We start from the raw sequence: 23904 nt of genomic DNA, 5'->3' as shown, positions 1-23904 counted from the left end.
GGGGTAAAGAGGAGGGAGAGAAAGGGGGAAAGGGAGGTAGGTAATGGGATAAAATATGGTCAATAAATTCTGTGACACTGGGGCAGGCTTAGAGCAACGGGTAGTTTGCCCTTCCTGACTCCATATTTTCACCAGGAAGTTTTTTTTTTTTTTTTTTTTTTGAGACAGAGTCTTGCTCTGTCGCAAGGCTGGAATGCAGTGGTGTGATCTCGGCTCACTGTAACCTCCACCTTCTGGGTTCAAGTGATTCCCCTGCCTCAGCCTCCTGAGTAGCTGGGACTACAGGCGCATGCCACCACGCCCAGATAATTTTCTGTATTTTAGTAGAGACAGGGTTTCACCATGTTGGCCAGGATGGTCTCGATCTCCTGACCTCATGATCCGGCCGCCTCGGCCTCCCAAAGTGCTGGGATTACAGGCGTGAGCCACAGCGCCCGGCCAGGAAGTTTTTAATATTGTTATTTTGTTCTTGAAATATTCCTTAAGCATCAACCTTATACATTCATTCAACAATTATGTACCAAGTGTCAGGCATTAGAAATACTGAGATGAATAAAACAGGTCCCGATTATAAGGGAAAGTAATGTATAGAAAATTACAGTAGTGTGAGAGCAGAAGTGTGACTGAGGGAAGGCCAGGGAGCTGGATCTGCAAGGAGACCCCTCACTCCAGCTTCGAGTAGGGGTAGGAAATAGAATTTATAAGGCTTCTAGCAGGAGGTAATGCTTGAGATGAATCTCTAACCTTAAAGCACAATAAATTTGTCAAGCATCATTGGCCAAAGGAGTGTGTGAGGGTGCAAACATCCTAGTGAGAAGGAACAGAAGCCAGAAGGAGCTTCTGGTATATTCTGATACATTCTAAGACGGAAAAATAGCTTTGGAGGATGGACATAGGGTGTATGGAGGGTTCCAAAGGAGATTAGATTAGAAATTTAAATAAAGCCAGATCATGAAATGCCCTGCAAGTTTTTGTTTGCTTGTTTTTTGAGACAGTCTCACTCTGTCACCCAGGCTGGAGTGCAGTGGTATGATTTCAGCTCACTGCAACCTCTGCCTCCTGGGTTCAAGCTATTCTCCTGCCTCAACCTCCCAAGTAGTGGGGATTATAGGCACCCGCCACCACACCTGGTTAATTTTTGTATTTTTAGTAGAGATAGGGTTTCACCATGTTGGCCAGGATGGTCTCGAACTCCTGACCTCAGGTGATCGATCCGCCCACCTGAGCCTCCCAAAGTGTTGGGATTACAGGCGTAAGCCACTGTGCCTGGCATGCCCTGCATGTTTTAAGGAGGCATCTGTGCTTTATCTTGAAGGTTATGAGGGAGTCAACAAAGGATTTCACAGGGGAATGACCTAGATAGTATAGTAAGGCAGTTAAGAGTGCAGAATCTATATATCAGTGATGTTCAAAGTGTAGTTCAGGTACCAGCAGTCTCAGTGTCACGGGGAACTTGTTAAAAATGCAAATTCTTGGGCCCCATTCTAGACCTACTGAATCAGAAACTAGAGATAGGCCCCAGTCAGCTGTGTTTTAACAAGCTCTCCAGGTGACTGCAATGCGTGCTCAAGCTGGAGAACTACTTCCCTACACAGACCACCTAGGTTGGAAGCCTAGCTCTCCCACTATATAACCTGGGGCAAGTTCTAAACTCCAGTGAAGAGAGGGGGTAAGGGGAGGGGACGGGAAGTGAGGGAACAGCCATGACACTAAACTAAGACCCACAGGCCATATAAAAATGGTTGGTCATCCAGAAGGAATCTGGGTGACAGTGACATTCATGATAATAGCTTACATTTATTAAGAGCTTACTGCGGACCAGGTATTATTCTAAGAACTTCACAAATATTAATCTACTTAATCCTCACAACAACTTTATAATCCTATTTTTCAGCTGAGGAAACTGGGGCTCAGAAAGGTAAAAATATGGTGTGATGTGGAGAGATGTTTACAATTAAAGTGGGAATTTTTTTTTTTTTTTGAGACAGGGTCTCGCTCTGTCGCCCAGGCTGGAATGCAGTGGCACGATCACAGCTCACTGCAGCCTCGGCCTTCCAGGCTCCAGCGATCCTCCCACCTGTCTCCCAAGTAGCTGGGACTACAGGTGCACTCCACCATGCCCAGCTAATTTTTGTATTTTTTTGTAGAGATGGGGTTTCGTCATCTTGCCCAGGCTGGTCTCGAATTCCTGGGCTCAAATGATCCCCCCACCTTGGCCTCCCAAAGTGCTGGGATTACAGGCATGAGCCACTGCACCCAGCCGAGTTTTGTTTTTATTAAAAGAAAAAACCCATAAATCATGTATATATGCATGGAAAAAGACTGGGAGGAAATAGCCCAACATACTCATTGTGGTGGTGCAATTGCAGGCATTTTTAATTTCTTTTTTGTAGTTATCTTTGTTTTCCAGAATTTCTCTAAGAAGTTTATATTGCTTTTGTAATCAGGGAAAACACCCTTTTGAAAAAGAAAAGAAATTGAACATGTGCACTTGAGGAAGATGTGAGCATCCTCTCAGTGCACAATGCAGACCCACAGAAAGAAAAATGCACCTGGCTTGTCGCTATTTCATGCAAGAGGATTCTGAGGGCCTTATCATGTTGGCACGCAGTGAGGGAACTGGTGGAGGAGTTTGGAAAAAAAATCAGTGCAGATAGATAGTTCCTAAACACCCTTCATCCAGCTTTCTCTAATGTTAACTGAGTTAACCATAGCACAGTTTCCAGATCAAAACTAGGAAATTAACAATGGCACAATAATATTGACTAAACCATAGTTTATTCACATTTTCCCGGTCTTTCCACTAATGTATTTTTTCTGTTCCAGAAGCCAATCTAGGATCCCACCTGGCATTGCGTTGTCATGTCTCATTAGCCTCCTTCAATTTGACAGTTCTTCAGTCTTTGTCTTTTGTGGCTTTGACACTTTCTAAGATCCTGGTCAGCTACTTTGTAAAATGTCCCTCAATTTAGATTTGTTTTATGTTTTTTTTTTTCATGATTAGATTGAGGTTACACGTTTTTTGAGAGGAATATCAGAGAAGTGATATTATGCCATTCTTAGCACTCCCTGGTCTTTTAATAACTGTGTCCCCTTAAACGCTTTCATCATGCAATTTTAAAATTATAAGCATAAATGGTTGCAAAGATGTTTATTTCCAATCTGTTGTAAATATCAGCATTTGAAATGCAATTACTTCACTCTTTTAAAGGTATTCAATGGAATCTAAATAGCAAAGTCATTTTTACCCACCATTATTTTATTTTAAAATACATGAAGATCTTTTTTAAACATTTAACATTTTACTCCTTGAATCTGTATTTCTAGTCCACTTTCCTCAGATAATTTTATCTTAAGGTAATACATTCTTGGCTGGGAGCTGGGGCTCATGTCTGTAATCTCAGCACTTTGAAAGGCTAAGGCAGGAGGAGTGCTTGAGGCCAGGAGTCAAGACCACTCTGGGCAACATAGAGAGAGCCCCGTATCTACAAAACAAAAATTTTACAAAATCGGCCAGGTGTGGTGGTGCGTGCCTACTGTCCCAGATACTCAGAGGCTGAGTTGGGAGGATCGCTTGAGCTTGAGAGGTTGAGGCTGCGCTGAGCCATGATCCTGCCACTGCACTCCAGCCTGGGTGGCAGAGTGAGACCTTGTCTCAAAAAAAAAAAAAAAAAGTAATACAATTTTATACCTAAAAGGTAAGGCTTAAAATTCTCACCCTATGTGACTTCTCTGTAACAAAAATATGCTTTATAAATTGAAATTGATTTATACTTGATTTTTACCATAAAGCACTATTAGAATTATTATGATTATTATACACAGTGATCAAAACAAGTATATTTAAAGTTTTTTAAAAATAATTATTACTTGTGAAAAGGAAATTTTTATTTAAATATATCTCTTAATGAAATGAATGGGACTTTCTTTTCAGGTATCTAGGATAAATAATACTTATTGCTAGAAAGAGACAGTATTCAGAATCACGTCTTTTTTTTTTTTTGAGACAAAGTCTCATTATGTTGCCCAGGCTGGACTCAAACTCCTGGACTCAAACAGTCCTCCTGCCTTAGCCTCCTGAGTAGCTTGGACTGTATGCTCTCACCTTTCAGCATCAATTCTATTTCTAATTTTTTAATATATTTAAGGGCTGAATAAACTTGTTTACATAAGTAAGAAGAAGAAAATTTAAAAGTTTTATAATAGCACTGTCATGTAATTCCATAAACATCTGGGCTATAAACCAAAAATCAGTTATCTCCCTGCAAAAATAACTTTTTCGTTTTTTATTGAGATATAATTCATATACCATAGAATGCACACCTTTAAACTATATGATTAAGTGGTTTTAGTATATTTAGAAAGTTGTAAAACCATCACTACTATTCAATTCCAGAATATTTTCATCATCCCCAAAGAGAAACTCATTACATGTTAGCAGTCACTCCCCATTTCCTCCTCGCCCCAACTCCTGGCAAACATTAATCTTTCGGCCTCTGGATTTGCCCATTCTGGTCATTTCATGTAAGTGGAATCGTGTAATATGTGGCCTTTTGTGTCTGGCTTATTTCACTTTGCTGAATGTTTTCAAGGTTTATCCACATTGTAGCATGAATCAGTGCTTCATTCCTTTTTATACCTGAATAATATTCCATTGTATGGATATACCAAATTTTCTTTATCCATTTGTCAGCTGATGGACATCTGAGTTGTTTCCATCTTTTGGCTATCTGTGAATAGCAATGCTATAGACATTCATTTATGCCGAGTGCAATGACATGTGCCTGTAGTCCCAGCTACTCAGGAGACTGAGGCAGGAGGGTCACTTGAGCCCAGGAGTTCAAGCCCAGCCTGGGTAACACAGAGAGATCTCATCTCTAAAATAATAAAAAGAACACATTGATTTACAAGGTTTTCGGTGGGCACATGTTTTCGTTTCTCTTACTGGGTCATATGGGAATTTATGTTTATAAATTTTTGAGGAAATGCCAGACATTCTCAAAGTAGCTGCACCACTTTACATTCTCACCAGCAATGTATGAGCGTTCCAATTCTTCCACACCCTTGCCAACACTTCCTGTTATTATCTGCCTTTTTTTATTTTTATTTTTATTTTTTTTGAGACGGAGTCTTGCTGTGTCACCCAGGCTGGAGTGCAGTGGCATGATCTCGGCTCACTGCAACCTCTGCCTCCCAGGTTCAAGCAATTCTCCTGCCTCAGCCTCCCGAGTAGCTGGGATTACAGGCGCATGCCACCATGCCTGGCTAATTTTTGTATTTTTAGTAGAGACGGGGTTTCATCATCTTGGCCAAGCTCATCTTGAACTTCTGACCTTGTGATCCACCCGCCTTGGCCTCCCAAAGTGCTGGGATTACAGGTGTGATCCACCATGCCCGGCCTGTCTTTTTTTTAAGAGACAAGTTCTCACTCTATTTCCAAGGCTGGAGTGCAGTGGCAGCGATCATAGCTCACTGTAGCCTCAAAATCCTAGGCTCAAGCAATCCTCAGCCTCCCGAGTAGCTGGGACTACAAGGTGTGTGCCACCATACTGGCTAATTTTTTAATTTTTTTTTCAGAGGTGGGGTCATTCTATGTTGCCCAAGCTGGCCTCAAACTCCTGGCCTCAAGTGATCCTCCTGCTGTAGCCTCCCAAAGTGCTGGGATTATAGGCGTGAGCCACCATGCCCAGCCTGTCTTTTTGATTATAGCCATCCTAATAGATGTCTTCACTAGGTATCTCTTTGTGGTTTTGATATGCCTTTCCTTAATGGCTAATGATGTTGAGCATCTTTTCGTGTACTTATTGGCCATTTGTATATCTTCTTTGGAGAAATGACTCTTCAGATTCTTTGCCCATTTTTAATTAGGTTATTTGTCTTTTTATCGTTTAGTTGTGAGAATTCTAGATACTCTAGATACAAGTCCATTATCAGATATATGACTTGCAAATATTTTCTCCCATTCTGCATGTTGCCTTTTCACTTTCTGGGTGGTTTAATTTGCAGTACAAAAGTGCTTCATGCTAGGAAGGCACAGTGGCCTATGCCTGTAATCCTAACACTTCGAGATGCTGAGGCAGGAGGATCACTTGAGCCCAGGAGTTTGAGAACAGCTTGGGCAACATAGTGAGAGCCCATCTCTACAAAAAATAAAAAAAATTCAGCTGGGTGTGGTGGCACACTCCTGTGGTCCCAGCTACTAAAGTGGCTGAAGTGGAAGGATGGCTTGAGCCCGGGAGGTCAAGGCTGCATTAAGCTATGATTATGACACTGTGCTCTAGAAATAAAAGTGTTTCATTTTCATATAGTCCAATTTATCTCTCTTTTTTTTCCTTTGTCACTTGCGTGTTTGTTGTCCTATCATCCTAAGAATTTCTTACCTAATCCAAGGTCAGGAAGATTTACACTTATGTTTTCTTCTGAGTTTTAGTTTTAGTTGTTACACTTTTAGCTCTGGGTCTGTTGCATTACTGTGTACATTTTAAGATCAACATGTCAATTTCTGCCAAAAAAAAAAAAAGCCAGCTGAGATTTTATTAGAGATTACACTGAATCCGTAGAACAATTGGGGGAGTACTGCCATCTTAGCAATATTAAGTCTTCTAATCCATGAACAAGAAATGTCATTCCATTTACTAAGGCCTTCTTTATTCTCTGTCAATGGTGTTTTATAGTTTTCAGTGTACAAGTTTTGCACTTCATTTGTTAAATTTATTTCTAATTAGTTTATTATTTTATTGCAAATAGAATTGTTTTCTTAATTTGATTTTCAAGTTGTCCATTGTTAGTGCTTAGTCATAGAATTGATTGTTGTGTTTTCTGGCATCCTGCAACCTTGCTGAACTTGATTATTAGCTCTAATAGTTTTTTGTGGATTCTTTAGGATTTTCTAACTAAGGTTGTGCCACCTGCAAATAGAGATATTTTTTACTTCTTCCTTTCCAATCTGGATGTCTTTAATTTTTTTCTCTTGCCTATTTAGCCCAGCTAGAACTTCCAGTATAATATTGAATAGAAGTGGTAAGAGTGGACATTCTTGTATTGTTTTTGATCTTAGGGGGAAATCTTACAGTTTTATACCATTAAATTTGATGTTAGTTGTGGGTTTTTCATAGATGTTCTTTACCAGATTAAAAGTTACTTTCTAGTTCTTGTTTATTGAGTGTTTTTTGTTTGTTTGTTTGTTTTTCATTGAAACGGAGTCTTGCTCTGTCATGCAGGCTGGAGGGCAGTGGCATGATCTCAGCTCACTGCAACCTCCACCTCCCAGGTTCAAGCAATTCTCCCACCTCAGCCTCCCGAGTAGCTGGGATTACAGGCTCCCATCACCACGCCCAGCTAATTTTTTTATTTTTAGTAGAGATGGGGTTTCGCCATGTTGGCCAGGCTGGTCTCAAACTCCTGACCTCAAGTGATCCACCCGCCTCGGCCTCCCAAAGTGCTGGGATTACAGGCCTCCCAAAGTGCTGGGATTACACCTCGCCTGGCCTACTGAGTGCTTTTATCATGAAGGAATATTGAATTTTGTCAAACACTTGTTCTGCATCTATGGAGATTAACAGGTAGTTTTTGTTCCATTAATGCAGCATACTACATTGACTGATTTTCTTATGTTGAACCAACCTTGCATCCCTAGGAAAAATTTTATTTGGTCATTGTGCGTAATTCATTTTATTTGTTGTTGGATTCAGTTTAGTAGTATTTTGTTGAGGATTTTTGTGTTTGTGTGATAAAATACAGATAACATAAAATTCGCCATTTCAACAATTTCAGAGTGTACAACTCAGTGACATTTGTTATGTTCACAGTGTTGTGCAATACTTACCACTATGTAGTTTCAAGACATTTTCAGCATGACAAAAGGAAACCCCACACACACTAAGCCGTCATTCTCCCCTCCCCCTGGCAACCACTAATCTGCTTCCTGTCTCTATGTATTTGCCTATTCTGAATATTTTTTGCCCAGGTGTGAGGTGAAAAGGGTTTGGGTGAAATTTCCTCTATTTAGAAAATTACTATCACAAATTCTTTATCAGTCAGCAGCCAGTCAGCAGCCTGTCCCACACAATTATTCACAGGCCCCTTTTGAACCTCCTGCATTTGGCAAGAAAGGGAGGTGAGCATGGAAAAGGAAGAGGGCAATCTTTCAACTGTCTCCCCTCCTTCTGCTAGAGAAGGGGGACTATGAGAAGAGGACTGCCCAGGATGGCTCCAGGCAAAATATAAACATTTGTCTCCTTTGCCCTCAAATCTCCCCTTTCTGCTGCTATATCCAGGCCCTGGTGGCCTCAAGTAGCCAGGCCCTAGGATATCTCTAAGATCTCTTCCCTCCAGGCGGGGCTGCAGGCCCTGAGACTACTTTCATAATTGGTTTCCTGTTGGGTGTCCCTTGCCTGCAAGCCTTACTAACTGGCCAGATGGCATCCACTTGCTTGAGCCACGTGTTCTTGTTTGCTAAGGCCTCCCTAAGTTATCCTGTCCAAATTCCCTGAACGTGAGGAATGTCAAGCCCCAAAGCTGTAAAAACGGTGACTCACTGAAGTCCAAGAAGGAGGTACTTCTGGAGAGCAGGGTGATCTTTACGTACTTTTCAAGTAATGCCCATGGGCAAATTTGTTATTTAGTGAAGCAGGATCAGGCAGTGGGAAAAAAAAGGTGACACCCCACCCTCACAGTATGCCTTACAGCCCACTCCACAGCTTTATTAGGAGCTAAGTCTCTGGAGAGATTCTGGGGAATTTTTTTTCTCCAGGGAGGCTTTCTGGCTTACACTTCTCCAGACCCCAAGGACACTCCCAGATGCAAGGTGATGTCATTGGAGTGTTTTCAGATAGAGAATTTAAGACTTGCTCTGACCTCATGTGCTTTGTGTTTCCAGTTTAACTCAAACTTTCCAAGACTTGAGTTCATTTACCTTTAATCAAAATTCCCTTTCTGGGCTCCACTTCTGATTACACATGGGCCTCTAAGTCTTCTTGGCCATCAGGTACCAGTTGATCAAAAGTGTCACACATTTAGGTAGGGCCAGTGTGGCTGACATGCCCTTTGAAGTTCAAATAGGGTTGGAAATGAGTGCAATATTGCTCACATGATGTCAAATCTCACATGTTTGAAATAGAGTGTGTGACATTTGACAAATTCAAGCACATGGTGAGGCAGCTATTCTGCTTACAGAGCAAAGACTCCACTAAGGACTAGGTGAGTGACTGCTCATTGGGGCCTGCCTCTTTGTTGACAACAGACTCAGACTGGGGCCTTTTTGACGAAAAATCAGAATGCTATTTCCAACCCTTAGGCAAGTAATGGGCTAATGAATGGCTCTAGAATTTTAGGAGACAGGCCTCACTCTGGGGGACAGTCCCCACTGAAGGCAAAGTTCTTTCCTCACCCCCACATGTGTGGCTGATAAAAGCTACTTGTCTGGCTGGGTGCGGTGTCTCAAGCCTGTAATCCCAGCACTTTGGGAGGCTGAGGCAGGCGGATCGCTTGAGGTCAGGAGGTTGTAAACCACCCTGGCCAACATGGTGAAAACCTGTCTCTACTGAAAAGACAAAAATTAGCAGGGGTAATTTTTGGCACGCACCTATAATTCCAGCTACTCTGGAAGCAGAGGCAGGAGAATCCCTTGAACCCAGGCAGACATTGCAGTGAGCCGAGATTGCACCACTGCCCTCCAGCCTGGGTGACAGAGCAAGACTCTGTCTCAAGAAAAAAGCTACTTGTCATATGTGCGCAATGTACTTCTCCCTGAAGACTATTTCAAATGGTTTCAGTTTGGCCATCTACCCAGAACGCACACGTACCCAGCACGCACATGTACCCAGCAAATGCCTTCCTATTTCTACCATCTTTACCCATAGAAGGCCTTAGAGTAAGTACTCTTTTTCACTGAGTCAGGTTTAGACCACAGAATCCTCAGATCAGCACTCCCAGCAGCCTGGGCCAGTTGCTTGGAGTTGGTATACAAGATAATGAAAATTGCTATCATTTTACTGAGGATTTATTATGGGTGAGGCACTGGGTAAGTGCATTACATGCATTATCTCTTTTAATTCCCACAATAGTCTTGTTATGTACTATTATTCTCATTTTACAGACAAGGAACCAAGGCCAAGGGAAGGTAAGTAAACTTTCTCAAGGTCAGATTGGCAGAACTGGGCTGGAATTCCCGTCTGTTTGACTCCAGAGACTAACCTCTTAACCGTTACGCTATGCCAGTTCATTCATTCACTCAACAAGTATTTAATCGGCACAAATTCTGTGTTAGCATGGTTCTAGGCCCTGGGGATACAGCAGTCAGAAGATCTTCGCCCAGTGGAACATGACACTGTGTGGGCCTCTGGAAGAAGGCCCTCTGGGAATCAGTGACTTGACACTGGATAATACATCCATTTGCTAGCAGGATGAGGGATCTCAAAAATGTGGGAGCTCCACGCCTAAACACAGGGAGTATATGGAAAACTCAAGCCACAAGGCAAAAGGGCAATGGCAAAGTTTCAGCTCAACCCTGACAGGGCTCTGTATGCTTAGCATAGGCTATAGCCCATGCTCCAGTGCTTGAGAAGGATAACATGCCCTACTGATCTCTGTAACCCTTGAAGGTCAACCACCCCAGGCCCTCCTACCATAAGCCAACATTAAGTTTTTCAAGCATCCCAGGTCTGCCTGTCTTTTTTGCCATTAGCAGCTGAATGTGTGAAGCTCGTGGCTCCCCGCAAGGAACCCTAGGGGTGGGTCACAGGTGGGGCTGAGCTCACTCTTCCTATAGATACATTTCCCCCTTGTAAAGAGCAAAGGAGACAGATCAAAGGCCACCTGGGCCCACTTGCTTGCTAGAGAGACCCGGGGGAGCTGGAAAGGAAAGGGGAGGAGGGGACTGGGGTAGGCTGGAGCTGTGCTGTGATTGATTGGCTTGTTTTGCTCCTGCACTTCTGTTTACCCAGCTGGGCCTGCTGCTGCCCAGAGGACCAGCATGTGCATGGCCACTCTGGCCGGCCTTTGGGGCAGTGTCAGAGTGAGCTGTGCACTCAGCCATCTCCTGGCAAAACTGAGGCAGGGAAGTTTGTGTTTTATGTCTGCAACTTTCCTGCCCCACTGGGCCTTCTCCCACCTCCAGGGACACCCCTCCGTAACACACACACCCCAGTCTCAGCCACAAAGTTCTTCAGGTCTTCTTCCTCTTAGTGGAACCTAGTGTCACTCAGGTATCTAAGACACTAACAGGTAAACATCTGCCAACAGCCTCTAGCTTAATTCTTCTAGCATTTCAAAATGCCGGGCTTCTCTGTAATTAATTAGTCCATTCAAGGCAGACAAGAGCAGAGGGCCCCAGGAGAGGGAAACAAATAGCTTATGAAAGAGCTACAGATCCAAGGACACAAATGAAGTCCCTGGTCTTCTAGGTCAGTCTTTCTGTTAATTGACAAACAAGGTTAAAACAAATCCCAGCATCTCAGTAATGCTCTCTGCTCGGTTTGAATAGCAGTAGCCCAAGGTAGAACGGTTTCAGAACTCAGTGTGTTAGGGGGGTGGGGGGCCGTGGGCAGGATTTGAAGATTTGAAGGACCCTTCCAAGTGCACGTGGCCACTGGTTTGTCAGTGTTTAACGCCAGCTCTACTTTTCTTAAAAACCAACCCAACCCCAAATCAGAAGCAAGTAGAGACTGGTGGCAAAGGGCCCCTGGGCTTTGGGTAGGCACTAGAGTGGTGGTTTAGAGTGGGCTTTGGAGTCAGACAAGCCTGAGTGGGAGTTTCAAATCTCAGCTCTGCTACTTATAACTGTTTGACTTTGGGCAAGTTGCTTAGCTTTTCTGAGTCTCAGTATAACCTTCTGTCAAATGAGGATAACACCTACCTCACTGCATTGTTGTGAGGATTAAATGCCATAAAGTGTGCCAAGTGCTTAGCAACTGATCTGTGTTATCAATATATACAGAGGGGTGTGATGATCAAAGACGAGGATTGTGGAGAGAGGGGGATGGGATACCTCATTCTCTTCCTGAAATGTTCAGCACTTTGGGTGTGCATTCCTAATGTTTACACAGTTCAAAGGCGAGTTCAAAATGTGGAAACAACCCAAATGTCTATCAACGGATGATTGGATAAACAAAACATGGTACACACATGCAATGGAATACTATTCAGCCTTTAAAAGGAAGGAAATTCTGATGCATACTACAATACAGATGAACTTTGAGGACATTATGCTAAGTGAAATAAGCCAGTCACTCAAAGACAAACACTGCAAGATTCCACTTACATGAAGTTTCTAGGATGGTTAAATTCATAGAAACAGACAGTAGAATGGGGGTTGCCAGGGGCTGGGAAAGAGGGGAATGGGGAGCTAATGTTTGATGGGTACAGAGTTTCTATCCGAGAAGATGAAAAAATTCTGGAGATGGAGGGTGGCGCTGGTGGCACAACATTGTGAATGTACTGAATGCCACTGAATCGTACGCTTAAAATGGTTAAAATGGTAAACGTTAAATTTTATGTTGCGTGTGTTTACTGCAATTTTGGATGGATTGGGGGTATATGTGTGAGAAAAGCCATGAAAGGTTAGTGCCCTGGTGAAAGCCAGGGATTCTATTTTCTACTCCGCTATGAGAAGGCAGCCAGTTTCCATACAGGGGAAGGGGAGAGAGAGAGGGAGAGGGATGGGGGGATAGAGAGAGAGAGAAGCAGGAGAGGAGGGAAAGGAGAATGGCCTGGGCTGTCAGTGTAAAACAAAAAATACAAAAGTTGGAGGTTTTTCAGCTCTGAAAATGCAACAAGCAAGGAGAGTAGGCTCCATCCCTAGGTGAGCCCCAAAGCCCACTTGGGCCACAGCTATAGCCTGGCTGGGAGACCACAAAAGGGAAGGAGGAGGTAATTTGGACTGGCCTGAGGTAAAAATTGCAGAGATTTGCAAGTGCAATCAGCTCTTCAACTCCCCACCACTTCCAAGGCAGAGTGGGTGGGACCAGACTCTTCTCTTCCTCCAATCCCACTCCTTCCAGGCTACAAGGGGCCCCTCAAGGCTGCCCTTCTCATTCGGTTCCAGCTGCCTGATTTCCCTGGAGAGGAGGTTGTGGAGGTGGGGCTGCCAGTCCCTACATCCCTAGCAGACCCACCTCTTCACGGGACCATCCGGACCCTGTACACGTGGACCCTGGCCGTGTAGACACACCTGAGTCCAGGAACGACACAAGCCGCAGGGATCCCAGCCTAGGCACGGAGGTAATTAGGCCCGTCTTCTCTGCTCCTGAAGTAATGTTTATTTGTCTTTCAAATTCTGCCAACCAAAATGGCTTAGGCTGTGATTTACCGTCACACCATTATGTCATACTTCCTTACTGCTTTTATGACCAAGAAAGACTCCAGGCACAGTAGCCATATTATGTCCCAGCGAACTCCTGCCCAAATTAAGTCACTGTTTCTGGTCCCTATCGCTGGTCAAATATGACTTCTAAGGGTAATTGCTGTTTTAGGGGCACATTTTAAAGCAAATGCAAAAAATAATGAATGTACCTATTTTGTGACTGAAATTTGCATCTGTCTTTTTACCCTCTCCCGGCAAATATGTTTTATGTTTATTTAAACAGTCTTTAATAAAAATCTACAGCTGCAAAGCATCTTACTACTCAATGCTTTCTGGTTAAGAAAATTGCCCATAATCACAGTGGACTTTACTATTCATAACAGAATATTATTTTTCATCGGTGCATGGCTGCATCCCAATGTATGAGTGTTGCAAATGCAATGTGAGGCTTATCTGAGGTCGGAAGCTCTTCATTCATTCATTTATTCAATCCATCAACAAACTTTTTTGCGGACTTACCATATGGGGTTTGGGACCTTTGGGGAACAGGGGGCAAGCATGGGCAGAGGCATGAGAGAGCAGGTCACTGATAGGACAAAGGTAGCCATTGTCAACCACAGTTGATGTATTGTGATTGGTTGGAAAGTGTGACACAAGTAATTTGTTACTGATAATAATTAATGTACCAGAGTTGCTGAATAATTTACTTTAGTTGTAAGTTAGAGTGGATTCAAGGTTATCTTTACAATAATAGCATCACTCTCACCTGCTTGCATTTCAGTTTGTTTTGATGAGAGTTAGAGAAAAGGGTCCAATTAATAGCTGCGGATTCCCCAAGGACACTCATGGGAGTGTGTCATGCATGTGCACATCATCTGTCAGTTATATCATAGTTGAGGATTATCAGAGTGGCCTACAAGGCGTGTGTTATGTGGGAGAGTGGAGAGAGATGAACCGGGAGAGGCAGGATGGGTAGATACGGCTTTTCAGAGCTTGCATAAACACAGTTTCAGGTGGATTGGCCCCCAAATTTTGCAGATCTAATTGTCAGTAATGTAGAGCTACTGCTTGTTTATCAGGTTCCAGTATTTCCCCAAGTACAGAGATGTGATCTTAGGTAAAGTAGTGACTGTCAACTCATACTTGTGAATTTGACCTGTCTTGGAGAACCTGTAATTATACTTCTCAGAATCAAGTACTTCTAGCACTGGCTGTGTTGCATGTTGAGCTTCTTAGAAATGAGAATGTGACCCAAGAGGTAGCTTCCAGGTTAGGTTTCGTGGGGTGATTGTGCCGGGACCACATTTATCTGTCTTGAAAAACAGATAGAAATTCTCGGTCATGAGTCAAACTAGAAAAAGGAACTTACTAATAATGGATTTGATATGCTATTTCTACTGGGAAGTCAGATGGGGTATGGGGAGCTGTTGGGGTACAGAGAAGGAGTGTCTACTTTTCCTTACCTTTCCAATATAAAATGGATTTCTAGAATATTGGAAATGACACCTTTCATGAAAATAGAATAAATGATGAGCTTGGTGTTCTGATTTGAAGGGTACTAGAACTGTTTCCCTGCTCCTAAAAATACTCTCCCACTGCTGCTTGATTTTCTAATATTAGAAATTGTGGTAGAATCTCTTTTTATATGTTTACAAATTATGCTTTGCTCTGTTCAACTAGTTTTCATTTTCTTTTTCAAATGTATGCTGGAGGAAAAGAGGATAGTTCTTCTAAAAATAAGAAGCACATTCAAGAATGAGCTGGAAGCCTGCTGGAATTGTTAAGGAAACCAATTGTGTGTAGATGCGACCTCAGTAATTAATCAGTGAACATCTAGCAGCCAAATATCTGATGGGAGGGAGGAGGCCCTCTCCTTAGAGAGAGGGAAAATGACTACTCCCTTCTGATTGAAAAAGCACCATCCCAGACCTTCTTGCTGCTGACATGCAGATGTACATCTGGCTGTAATCTCTCACTCCCTGCTAGCCTTTGCCAAACTGTGTGGAACAGAAATCCAGTTTCTCCTCCATGTAAAGCGACAGAGAGAAATTGAATAGTTAGATAGTTAAAATTCTGAGCACTGGCTAGGAAAAGGAACATGCCCAAAGCAATAAAAAGACTCTCACTTAAAAAACTGTGGCTGAAGAAAGATTTGAGCAGTTTAAACAACTAGTGGAGTTGATTGGGGTGAAGGGAGTAGAAGTCTCAAAGCCACAGACAAGCCTTGATACTCTGCAGACAAGCTAAGAAATATTTAAATTGTGTGAAATCTACTCAAGGCTGATGAATAAGATAGAATAAGAGCTTGATAACATTTGAAAGAATTTATTTGCACTTAAGTGTCTGTGTTTCTATAAATCTTGCTCTAAATTTTATTTTATGTGGTGTTGTTTTAAAAACAGAGTTATTTATAAAGAATGAAAGCATAATTGAGTGGGGAAGTGTGCTCTGTTCCCTTTCTCCGAGCTGTCCAACCTAAGGGAAGACTATCATTCTGTCAAAGTGGTGGTAACTTAATCAAATTGCAGGACTAGTACATAGGAGGAAAATGATGCCCTTTGAAGCTTTGCCTTGGAAACCCACACTTCATAAGTGACAACAAATACAACAGTGCCTCAACTTTTGGATTAAATATTGCAGCCTTCTTTAAAAATAAAAAATGCCTCTGGATAGGTTAACATATAGAGTTATTAGTATCTTAGTACAGTGGTTTCCCAAACTGGGTATTTAACACACGTTTCATTTATATTGAGAACTTTTAAAATTCAGAAAAGTGCAGAGAAGAGTATAGCAAACACTTGTGTTCTCACCATGCAGAGGAGAAATACACTACTGTATTTACTGTGTCTTCCATTCTTTTTAAATTAAAAAAAAAGTGCTACATGAAAAGTTGAGGCCCCCTTTATCTCCTGCCTCCAGTCAACTCATTTTTATTAATTTGGTATGTTTTCTTCCAAACTATGATATACTTTTGTATTTTTTTAAACTTAGCATTATGTTCTTGAGATCAGTCCATGTGGGTGCCTATTGGTCTAGTTCATTCTTACTGCTGAACAGTAACCTATAGTACCACCACAGCACATTTAATTTATTCATTCCTCCTTTGGTGGATATTTATTTCCAAATTTTTAGTATTAGAAACAAACAACTTGCAATAAACACTGAGATATCTGTGTCTTTGCACACTGGATTGGAATTTCTCTAGAGTATGTACCTTCTAGAAAGTAAGATTTCTGGGTTAAAGAGTACATACACTTTTAGTTTTTCTGGGCACTGGCAGGTTGCTCTCCAATGTGGCTCTACCGAGTAACAGTCCCATAAGTCGTTTATGAGCTCCCATGACACCATACCATTGATAACTTTTGAGTTTTAATTTTTGCCTGTCTGATGAGTAAAGACAGTATCTTGTTTTGTTGTTGTTTTTATTTCCTTGAGTACTAGTGAGGTTAAGTATCTTTGCATATATTTCTAGACCATTCCAGTGTCTTCTGCCAGTTGTCTGTTGGTATTCTTTGCTCCTTTTTCCATTGTGTTGATTGCCTTTTAAAATTGACTTATAGCATTTATTTTATGTCTTTTTTGACTCTGTTTCTTTTTCAATTACATGTGTGGCAAGTGTCTTCTCCCACTATATGGCTTATCTTTAACTTTATACTGTCATTTTTTCTTATAGACATTATAATGTTTAATGTGGTCACATTTACCAGTCTTTTCTACTAAAATTTGTAAGTTTTGTGTGTGTGATTAATGAATTCTTCTATTCTGAGGTCATAAAGGTATTCTATATTTGCATCAAAGTGTTGTAAAATTTTGCTTTTAACAGTTAGATCTTTAATTCATTTTGAATTGATTTTTATGTAGGGTTTGAATAAGTTATCTAATTGTATCTTTTATCATATGAATAATTTTAATGCCATTTATTAAATAATCTATATCTTATCCTCCACGATTTATAATCAATCTCTGTCCTTTACCTAGTTCTCATAGACTTACCTGAGTTGTTTGTAGGCCCTTTTTATATTCCACTGGTCTATTTGTTTATCCATCTGCCAATACTATATAGTTTTATTTTTTATTTTTTGAGATAGAGTCTCGCTCTGTCTCCCAGGCTGGAGTGCAGTGGCGCGATCCCGGGTTCAAGCGATTCTCCTGCCTCAGGCTCCCAAGTAGCTGGGACTACAGGTGCACGCCACCACACCCACCTAATTTTAATATTTTTAGTAGAAACCAGGTTTCACCATTTTGGCCAGGCTGGTCTCAAACTCTTGACCTCAAGTGATCCGCCCGCCTTGGCCTCCCACAGTTCTCAGATTATAGGCGTGAGCCACTGTGCCTGGCCTACGTTGTTTTAATGCCATGACATTATAATAAGCCTTAACAATGTGCCCTTCACTACTCTTCTTCACAATTGTCTTGTATATTCTTGATGCCTTACTATTCTGTTACAATCTTATTCTCTGTGTAAATCTTCTGTGTAAATTACCTTGTCAAAAATCCAGAAAAATCCTGTTGTGATTTTGGTTGAACTTGCATAGAATTTACAGACCAATTTAAAGAAAATTGCCATATTTGTGTTGAGCCTTCCCATACATGAACATGGCATATATCTCCTTTTTGAGGTTACTTTATTCTAAACTTTTTATTTCAATATAATTATAGATTCACGGGAAGATGCAAATATGGTACAGAGAGGCCCCCTGTACCATTCACTGACTTTCTCCCATGATTATATTTTACATAACTAGAGTACAGTATCAAAACTAAGAATTCGACATTGATACAATATGTGTGTATATAATTCTATGCCATTTTTATCACAGGTGTAGATTTGTGTAAGATACAGAAGGCCAGACGCAGTGGCTCACACCTGTAATCCCAGCACTTTGGGAGGCCGACGTGGGCGGATCACCTGAGTTTGGGAGGTCGAGACCAGCCTGACCAACATGGGGAAACCCTTTCTTTACTAAAAATACAAAATTAGTCAGGCGTGGTGGCACATGCCTGTAATCCCAGCTACTTGGGAGGCTGAGGCAGGAGAATTGCTTGAACCTGGGAGGTGGGGTTGTGGTGAGCCGAGATTGTGCCATATTGCACTCCAGCCTGGGCAACAAGAGCAAAACTCTGTCTCAAAAAAAAAAAAAAAAAAAAGATACAGAATGATTCCATCACCACAAAGATGTCCCTCATGCTACCTTTATGGTTACACCCACCCCACCCTATCTCTAACCCCCAGAAATCACTAATCTAGTCTTCATCTTTACAATTTTGTCATTTCAAGAATGTTATATAAGTGAAATAATACAGTATGTGACTTTTTGAGATTACCTTTCTTCATTCCCTGGAGATTCATGCAAGTTGCTGTGTGTGTCAATAGTTACTCCTTTCTATTGCCGAGTCTGCTAGTGACGAATTCTGTTAGTTTTCCTTCATCTGAGGATGTCTTGATTTCCCCTTCATTTTGAAGAATATTTTTGCTGGGTGTAGAATTCTGTGCTGGCAGTTCTCTTCTTTCCTGGTATGGATGTACCATAGTTGGTCGAACCCGTTCACTTGTTGAGGGACGTTTTGGTTGTTTCTGGTTTGAGTGTTTTCTGTTTGTTACCTCTGTTTTTTATTTCTCTGTTTTCATTTTCTTGCCTTCCTGTGTGTTACTTGAATATTTTTTAGAATTCTATTTTGGTTCACCTACAGGATTTTTAGAGTTATGTCTTTGTGTAGCTTTTTTTGTGGTTGCTCTAGGTCTAACGTGACATACACATAACTTATTACAATCTACTGGTGTCATCATTTTACCAGTTAAAGTATAGCAACTTTATTCCTTTACTTTCTCCAGTTTATAATTATCTTAAGTATTTTGTTTACATACATTGAGAAAACTATCAAACAATGTTTTACTTTTTGCTTTAACCATCAAACATAATTTTAAAAAAAAATCAATAGAAGAGGACAGCCTATTGTATTTATCCATATTTTTTGTTCTTTCTTTGTTCTTTCTCATTCCTGATGCTCAAAGATTCCTTCTATCACTTGTTTCTGTTTGGAGAACTTCCTTCAGCCATTCTTTAAATGTTAGTTTGCTATCATAAGGACAGAAAACCAAACACCCCATGTTCTCACTCATAGGTGGGTATTGAACAATGAGAACACTTCGACACAGGGCGGGGAACATCACACCCCGTGAGCCACTGTGCCTGGCCTATTCTCTTGGCCTGTCAGAGGATGGAGGGCTGGGGGAGCAATAGCATTAGGAGAAATACCTAATGTAAATGACAGGTTGATGGGTGCAGCAAACCAACATGGCACATGTATACCTATGTAACAAATCTGCACGTTGTGCACGTGTACCCTAGAACTTAAAGTATAATTTTAAAAAATGTTAGTTTGCAAGTGATAAATTCTGTTAGTGTTCCTGCATCTAAGGATGTCTTGATTTTCCCTTCATTAAGAAGGATATTTTTGTTGGTTGTAGAATTCTGTGCTGGCAGTTCTTTTCTTTCAGTACTTAAAAAATACCATGTCATTTCCTTGTAACCTCCACAGATTTTGATGAGAAATCTACAGTCACTGGGTTTTGGCCTGGATTTCTTTGGGTTTAATGTATTTGGGATTTACTCAGCTTTTTGAACCTGTAGGTTTGTCTTTTGCCAAATTTGAGTAAATTTCAGCCACTGTTTGTTTGAATACATCTTCAGCCTCACCTTTTATTCCCTCTCCTTCTGTGACTTTGATGACATAAATGCTTTGTTATAGTGCCACGGATCCCTGAGGCTCTGTTCATACATATTTTTCAGTCTACTTTCTCTTTGTTGTTTGTCCTTGGTAATTTCTATTTTTGTATCTTCGAGCTTACTGCTTCTTTTCTCTATCTCCTCCATTTTGCTATTGGGCCCATCCATTGAAGTTTTAAAATTTTGGTTGTTTTCTCATTCTAAAATTTCCATTTGGTTCTTCTTTATATCTCCTATTTTCTTTGTTGAGATTTTTTGCCCTTTGTTTCAAGTGCATTTATAATTACTTGTTCAAAGGTTCTTATGATGGCTGCTTTAAAATCGTTGACAGGTAATTGTAATATCTGTGTCATTTCAGTCTTGGCATCTGTTGAATGTCTTTTCTCATTCAAATTGAGATTTTCCTGGTTTTTGGTATTATAAGTGATTTTTTATTCAACTTTGACATTTTGGGTACTACATTATGAGACTGGTTCTTATTGAAATCTTCTGTTTTAGCAGGCCTCCTCTGACGCTGCTCCAGTGGTGGAAGAGGAGGCACCACCTCATTACTGCCAGCTGGAGATGGACGTACAGCTCCCTATGTGGTCGCTACTGTCACTGTGGAGAAAGGAGATTTATTACAGTCACAGCTTCCCACTTGGCCCTCTCCAACACCACACTGGCTAGGTGATTGGGATACTTCCTTACAGCCTAGGGAGGGGAAAAGTCAGCCTCCCCACTCAGCCTTTGCTGGCATGAATAGGAGTGTTTTTTTCTGTAGATATTTGCCGGGAGTAGAGAGCAGTTATTGTTAAAGGTGTTCTGTTCTACACGGTTGTTCTTTTTCTGATACACTGGCTAGCGAAAGCAGGCTTATGTTGGGGATTTTTTTTGTCTGTGCTTGTTGGTATTACTGGGTTGCTAGCTTCTCTAGTACCCAGTCTGGGATATATGAGGCAAAAAGGGGACAGAAGAAACTCACCAATACGTTGCCTCAGTTCCCAAGGTCCCTAGCCAGTCTGCCCTTTTTTCTCTACCTGTCAGAGTCATCTTATATCTGCCTTATACATAATGTTCAGGGTTTTTAGCCGTACTTGGCAGAAAGAGTAGGGAAAATTACTTTTATTTCATCTTGTCTTGAAACTGAAGTATAAGATCATCTTTTATGACGTTCAAAAATTTTAATAATTTTCTCCATAAAGGTCTTATACAACTGTTGTGTGTGTATATATACTATGTTGTTAACAGTGTTAATTCAGTGAATGGAAATGGTTACCACTCTGTAATGCATGTAATAAAGCACTTACATATACTTGTTTAAAAGCTGTTTCTTGGAATGCTACTCACACACTGCTCACGCTCCTAGCTCTTTGCTAATAATATGTATTTTGGATAATATCACTCCTCTTTAAGAATTACATATTCTAATTTATTGTTTCTGGTATATTTAAATGATACTGATTTTTTTCATATTAATATATCCAGCACTTTTGTTGAATGCTCTTATTAGTTCTAACAGTTTCTAGATACTCTTGCTTTTTTTTTTTTTTTTTTTTGAGACGGAGTCTCACTCTGTCACCAGGCTGGAATCCAGTGATGTGATCTTGGCTCACTGCAACCTCCGCCTCCTGTGTTCAAGCAATTCTCTGCCTCAGCCTCCCGAGTAGCTGGGATTATAGGTGCCTGCCACCACACCCGACTAACTTTTTGTATTTTTAGTAGAGACAGGTTTCACCATCTTGGCCAGGCTGGTCTTGAACTCCTGACCTCATGATCCACCTGCCTCGGCCTCCCAAAGTGCTGGGATTACAGGCGTGAGCCACCGTGCCTGGCCGATTCTCTTGCATTTTCTGTATAGGCAATCATATCATCTGCAATTATGATTTTTTCCTTTTTCTAATATATATATATTATATATTTATATATTTTATATATTAGTGTGTGTGTGTGTATATATATATATATATATATAATTTTTTTGAGTTGGAGTCTCGCTTTGTTGCCCAGGCTGGAGTGCAGTGGCATGATCTCAGCTCACTGCAACCTCTGCCTCCTGGGTTCAAGCAATTCTCCTGCCTCAGCCTCCTGAGTAGCTGGGATTACAGACACACGCCACCACGTCTGGCTAATTTTTGTATTTTTTTGGTAGAGATGGGGTTTCACCATGTTGGTCAGGCTGGTCTCTAACTCCTGACCTCGTGATCTGCCCACCTTGGCCTCCCAAAGTGCTGGGATTACAGGTGTGAGCCACTGCGCCCAGCCATATATATATATTTTAATATGTTTAATACTTTATATTATATTTCATATAATATATAAATATTATATAATATATAAATATATATTAAAGTAGAATACTTTAATATGTTTGTAATTATTGTGATTTCTGTTATGCTTAGATTTATTTTTTCATTTTGTTTTATATTTCTATTACTATGTTTTATTTTTTTTTGTTGTTGTTATTTTGTTTTTTTTTTTTTGAGATGGAGTCTCACTGTGTTGCCCAGGCTGGAGTGCAATGTTGCAATCTCAGCTCACTGTAACCTCTGCCTCCCGGGTTCAAGTGATTCTCCTTCCTCAGCCTCCTGTGTAGCTGGGATTACAGGCATGCAACACCACGCCCAGCTAATTTTTGTATTTTTATAGAGACAGGGTTTCACCATTTTGGCCAGTCTGGTCTCGAATTCCTGACCTCAAGTGATCCGCCGACCTCAGCCTCCTGAAGTGCTGGGATTACAGGTGTAAGCCACCACGCCCAGCCTATATTTCTATTACTATGTTTTACATTGCTTCTTTTTTATTTTTTTCTGCCTTGATTGAGTTGATTAATGTTTTTATTTCCCCTGCCTTCTTCTGAAATTTTGGAAGTTGTATTTCTGTTAATTTAGTGGTCACCTTTAAAATTTTACATACACCCACGGACTGCACACACACAAAAATTCAAGTTAATGTGTATATTAACTTGAATTTTTGTGCAGTCCGTGGGTGTATGTAAAAATTTTAAAGGTATTAACCAGAGAGAGAAAACAGATTGCATAGAGATATATCTCCATTTAGAGATAGAGATAGAGATATATTTCGATTTATCCTTTGAGTAATAAAATAAGCTAAATATGTTTTAACTCTAATCTTCTACTCTCTATCTTAAGTGGGACTGTTGGGCCACATTTTGGTGGCATTTTCCTCTTCAATACCCCCCGGAATTGGTCATTGTAACCTTATTATTATTGGGATTCTTTTTTTAAGAAAAAACAGCTTTATTGAGATATCAATTATCACCATTTTAGAACATCATCATCTCAAAAGAAACCCTATTTTTTACAGTTGAGGTTTATTTAAATTTATCTATATGTTTACCAAGTTTTTTGCTCCATTGTTTCTTGAACTCCAGTCCTTTATTGTAGGTTCAGTTTTCTTCTTGATGTACATCATTTAATATTTTTTTAGTGAAGGCTTATCACTGACAAACTCTCATAGTCTTTGTTTAAAAGATCTCATTTTAATGACCCTCAGTTGTGAATGATAACTTCTGTATGTAAAATTTTAAGTTAATGGGTATTTTCCCTCAACTTTGTAAATATTATTCCATTGTTTTTTGAGTTCTATTGTTGCTGATGGGAAGTGTATTATTTATTATCTATTGTCAGTCTATTTTTTAATGTTAGTTTTTGAATGCCATCTGTCTTTTCTCTCTGGTTAAAAATTTTCTATTTGTTTTCACTATGATTTGTCTAGGTTTGTATTTATTTTTATTCATCTTAAGATCTGGGCTTCTTCAATCTGAGTTCCTATTGTTTTACATTAGACTACATTCATAATACATTGCTTTCAATTTACAGTTTCTGTTTTTAAATAGTGGATCAAGATCTAAAGACACTAACCATAGCAGCCTTC

General features: G+C 40.6%; 1 protein-coding gene across 5 annotated transcripts in view; it reads left to right on the top strand.

The window, feature by feature from the left end:
- The window catches only part of PLAC1 (placenta enriched 1), a 198485-nt gene that overhangs the window by 37340 nt on the left and 137241 nt on the right, over positions 1-23904 (top strand). The window contains exon 1 of one of the 5 annotated variants that reach the window (XM_011531260.3): positions 13031-13218. The exons of the other annotated variants lie outside the window; for them this stretch is intronic. The gene's annotated coding sequence lies outside the window, so the exon portion shown is untranslated. Of the gene's footprint in view, positions 1-13030; positions 13219-23904 lie in introns of those variants that run through there. 5 annotated transcript variants of the gene reach the window in all.

Source organism: Homo sapiens, chromosome X (genome assembly GCF_000001405.40).
Source record: "Homo sapiens chromosome X, GRCh38.p14 Primary Assembly".
Taxonomy (NCBI): domain Eukaryota; kingdom Metazoa; phylum Chordata; class Mammalia; order Primates; family Hominidae; genus Homo; species Homo sapiens.
Note: the sequence above shows the minus strand (reverse complement) of the source record. Positions and strands in the feature narration are given on the sequence as shown.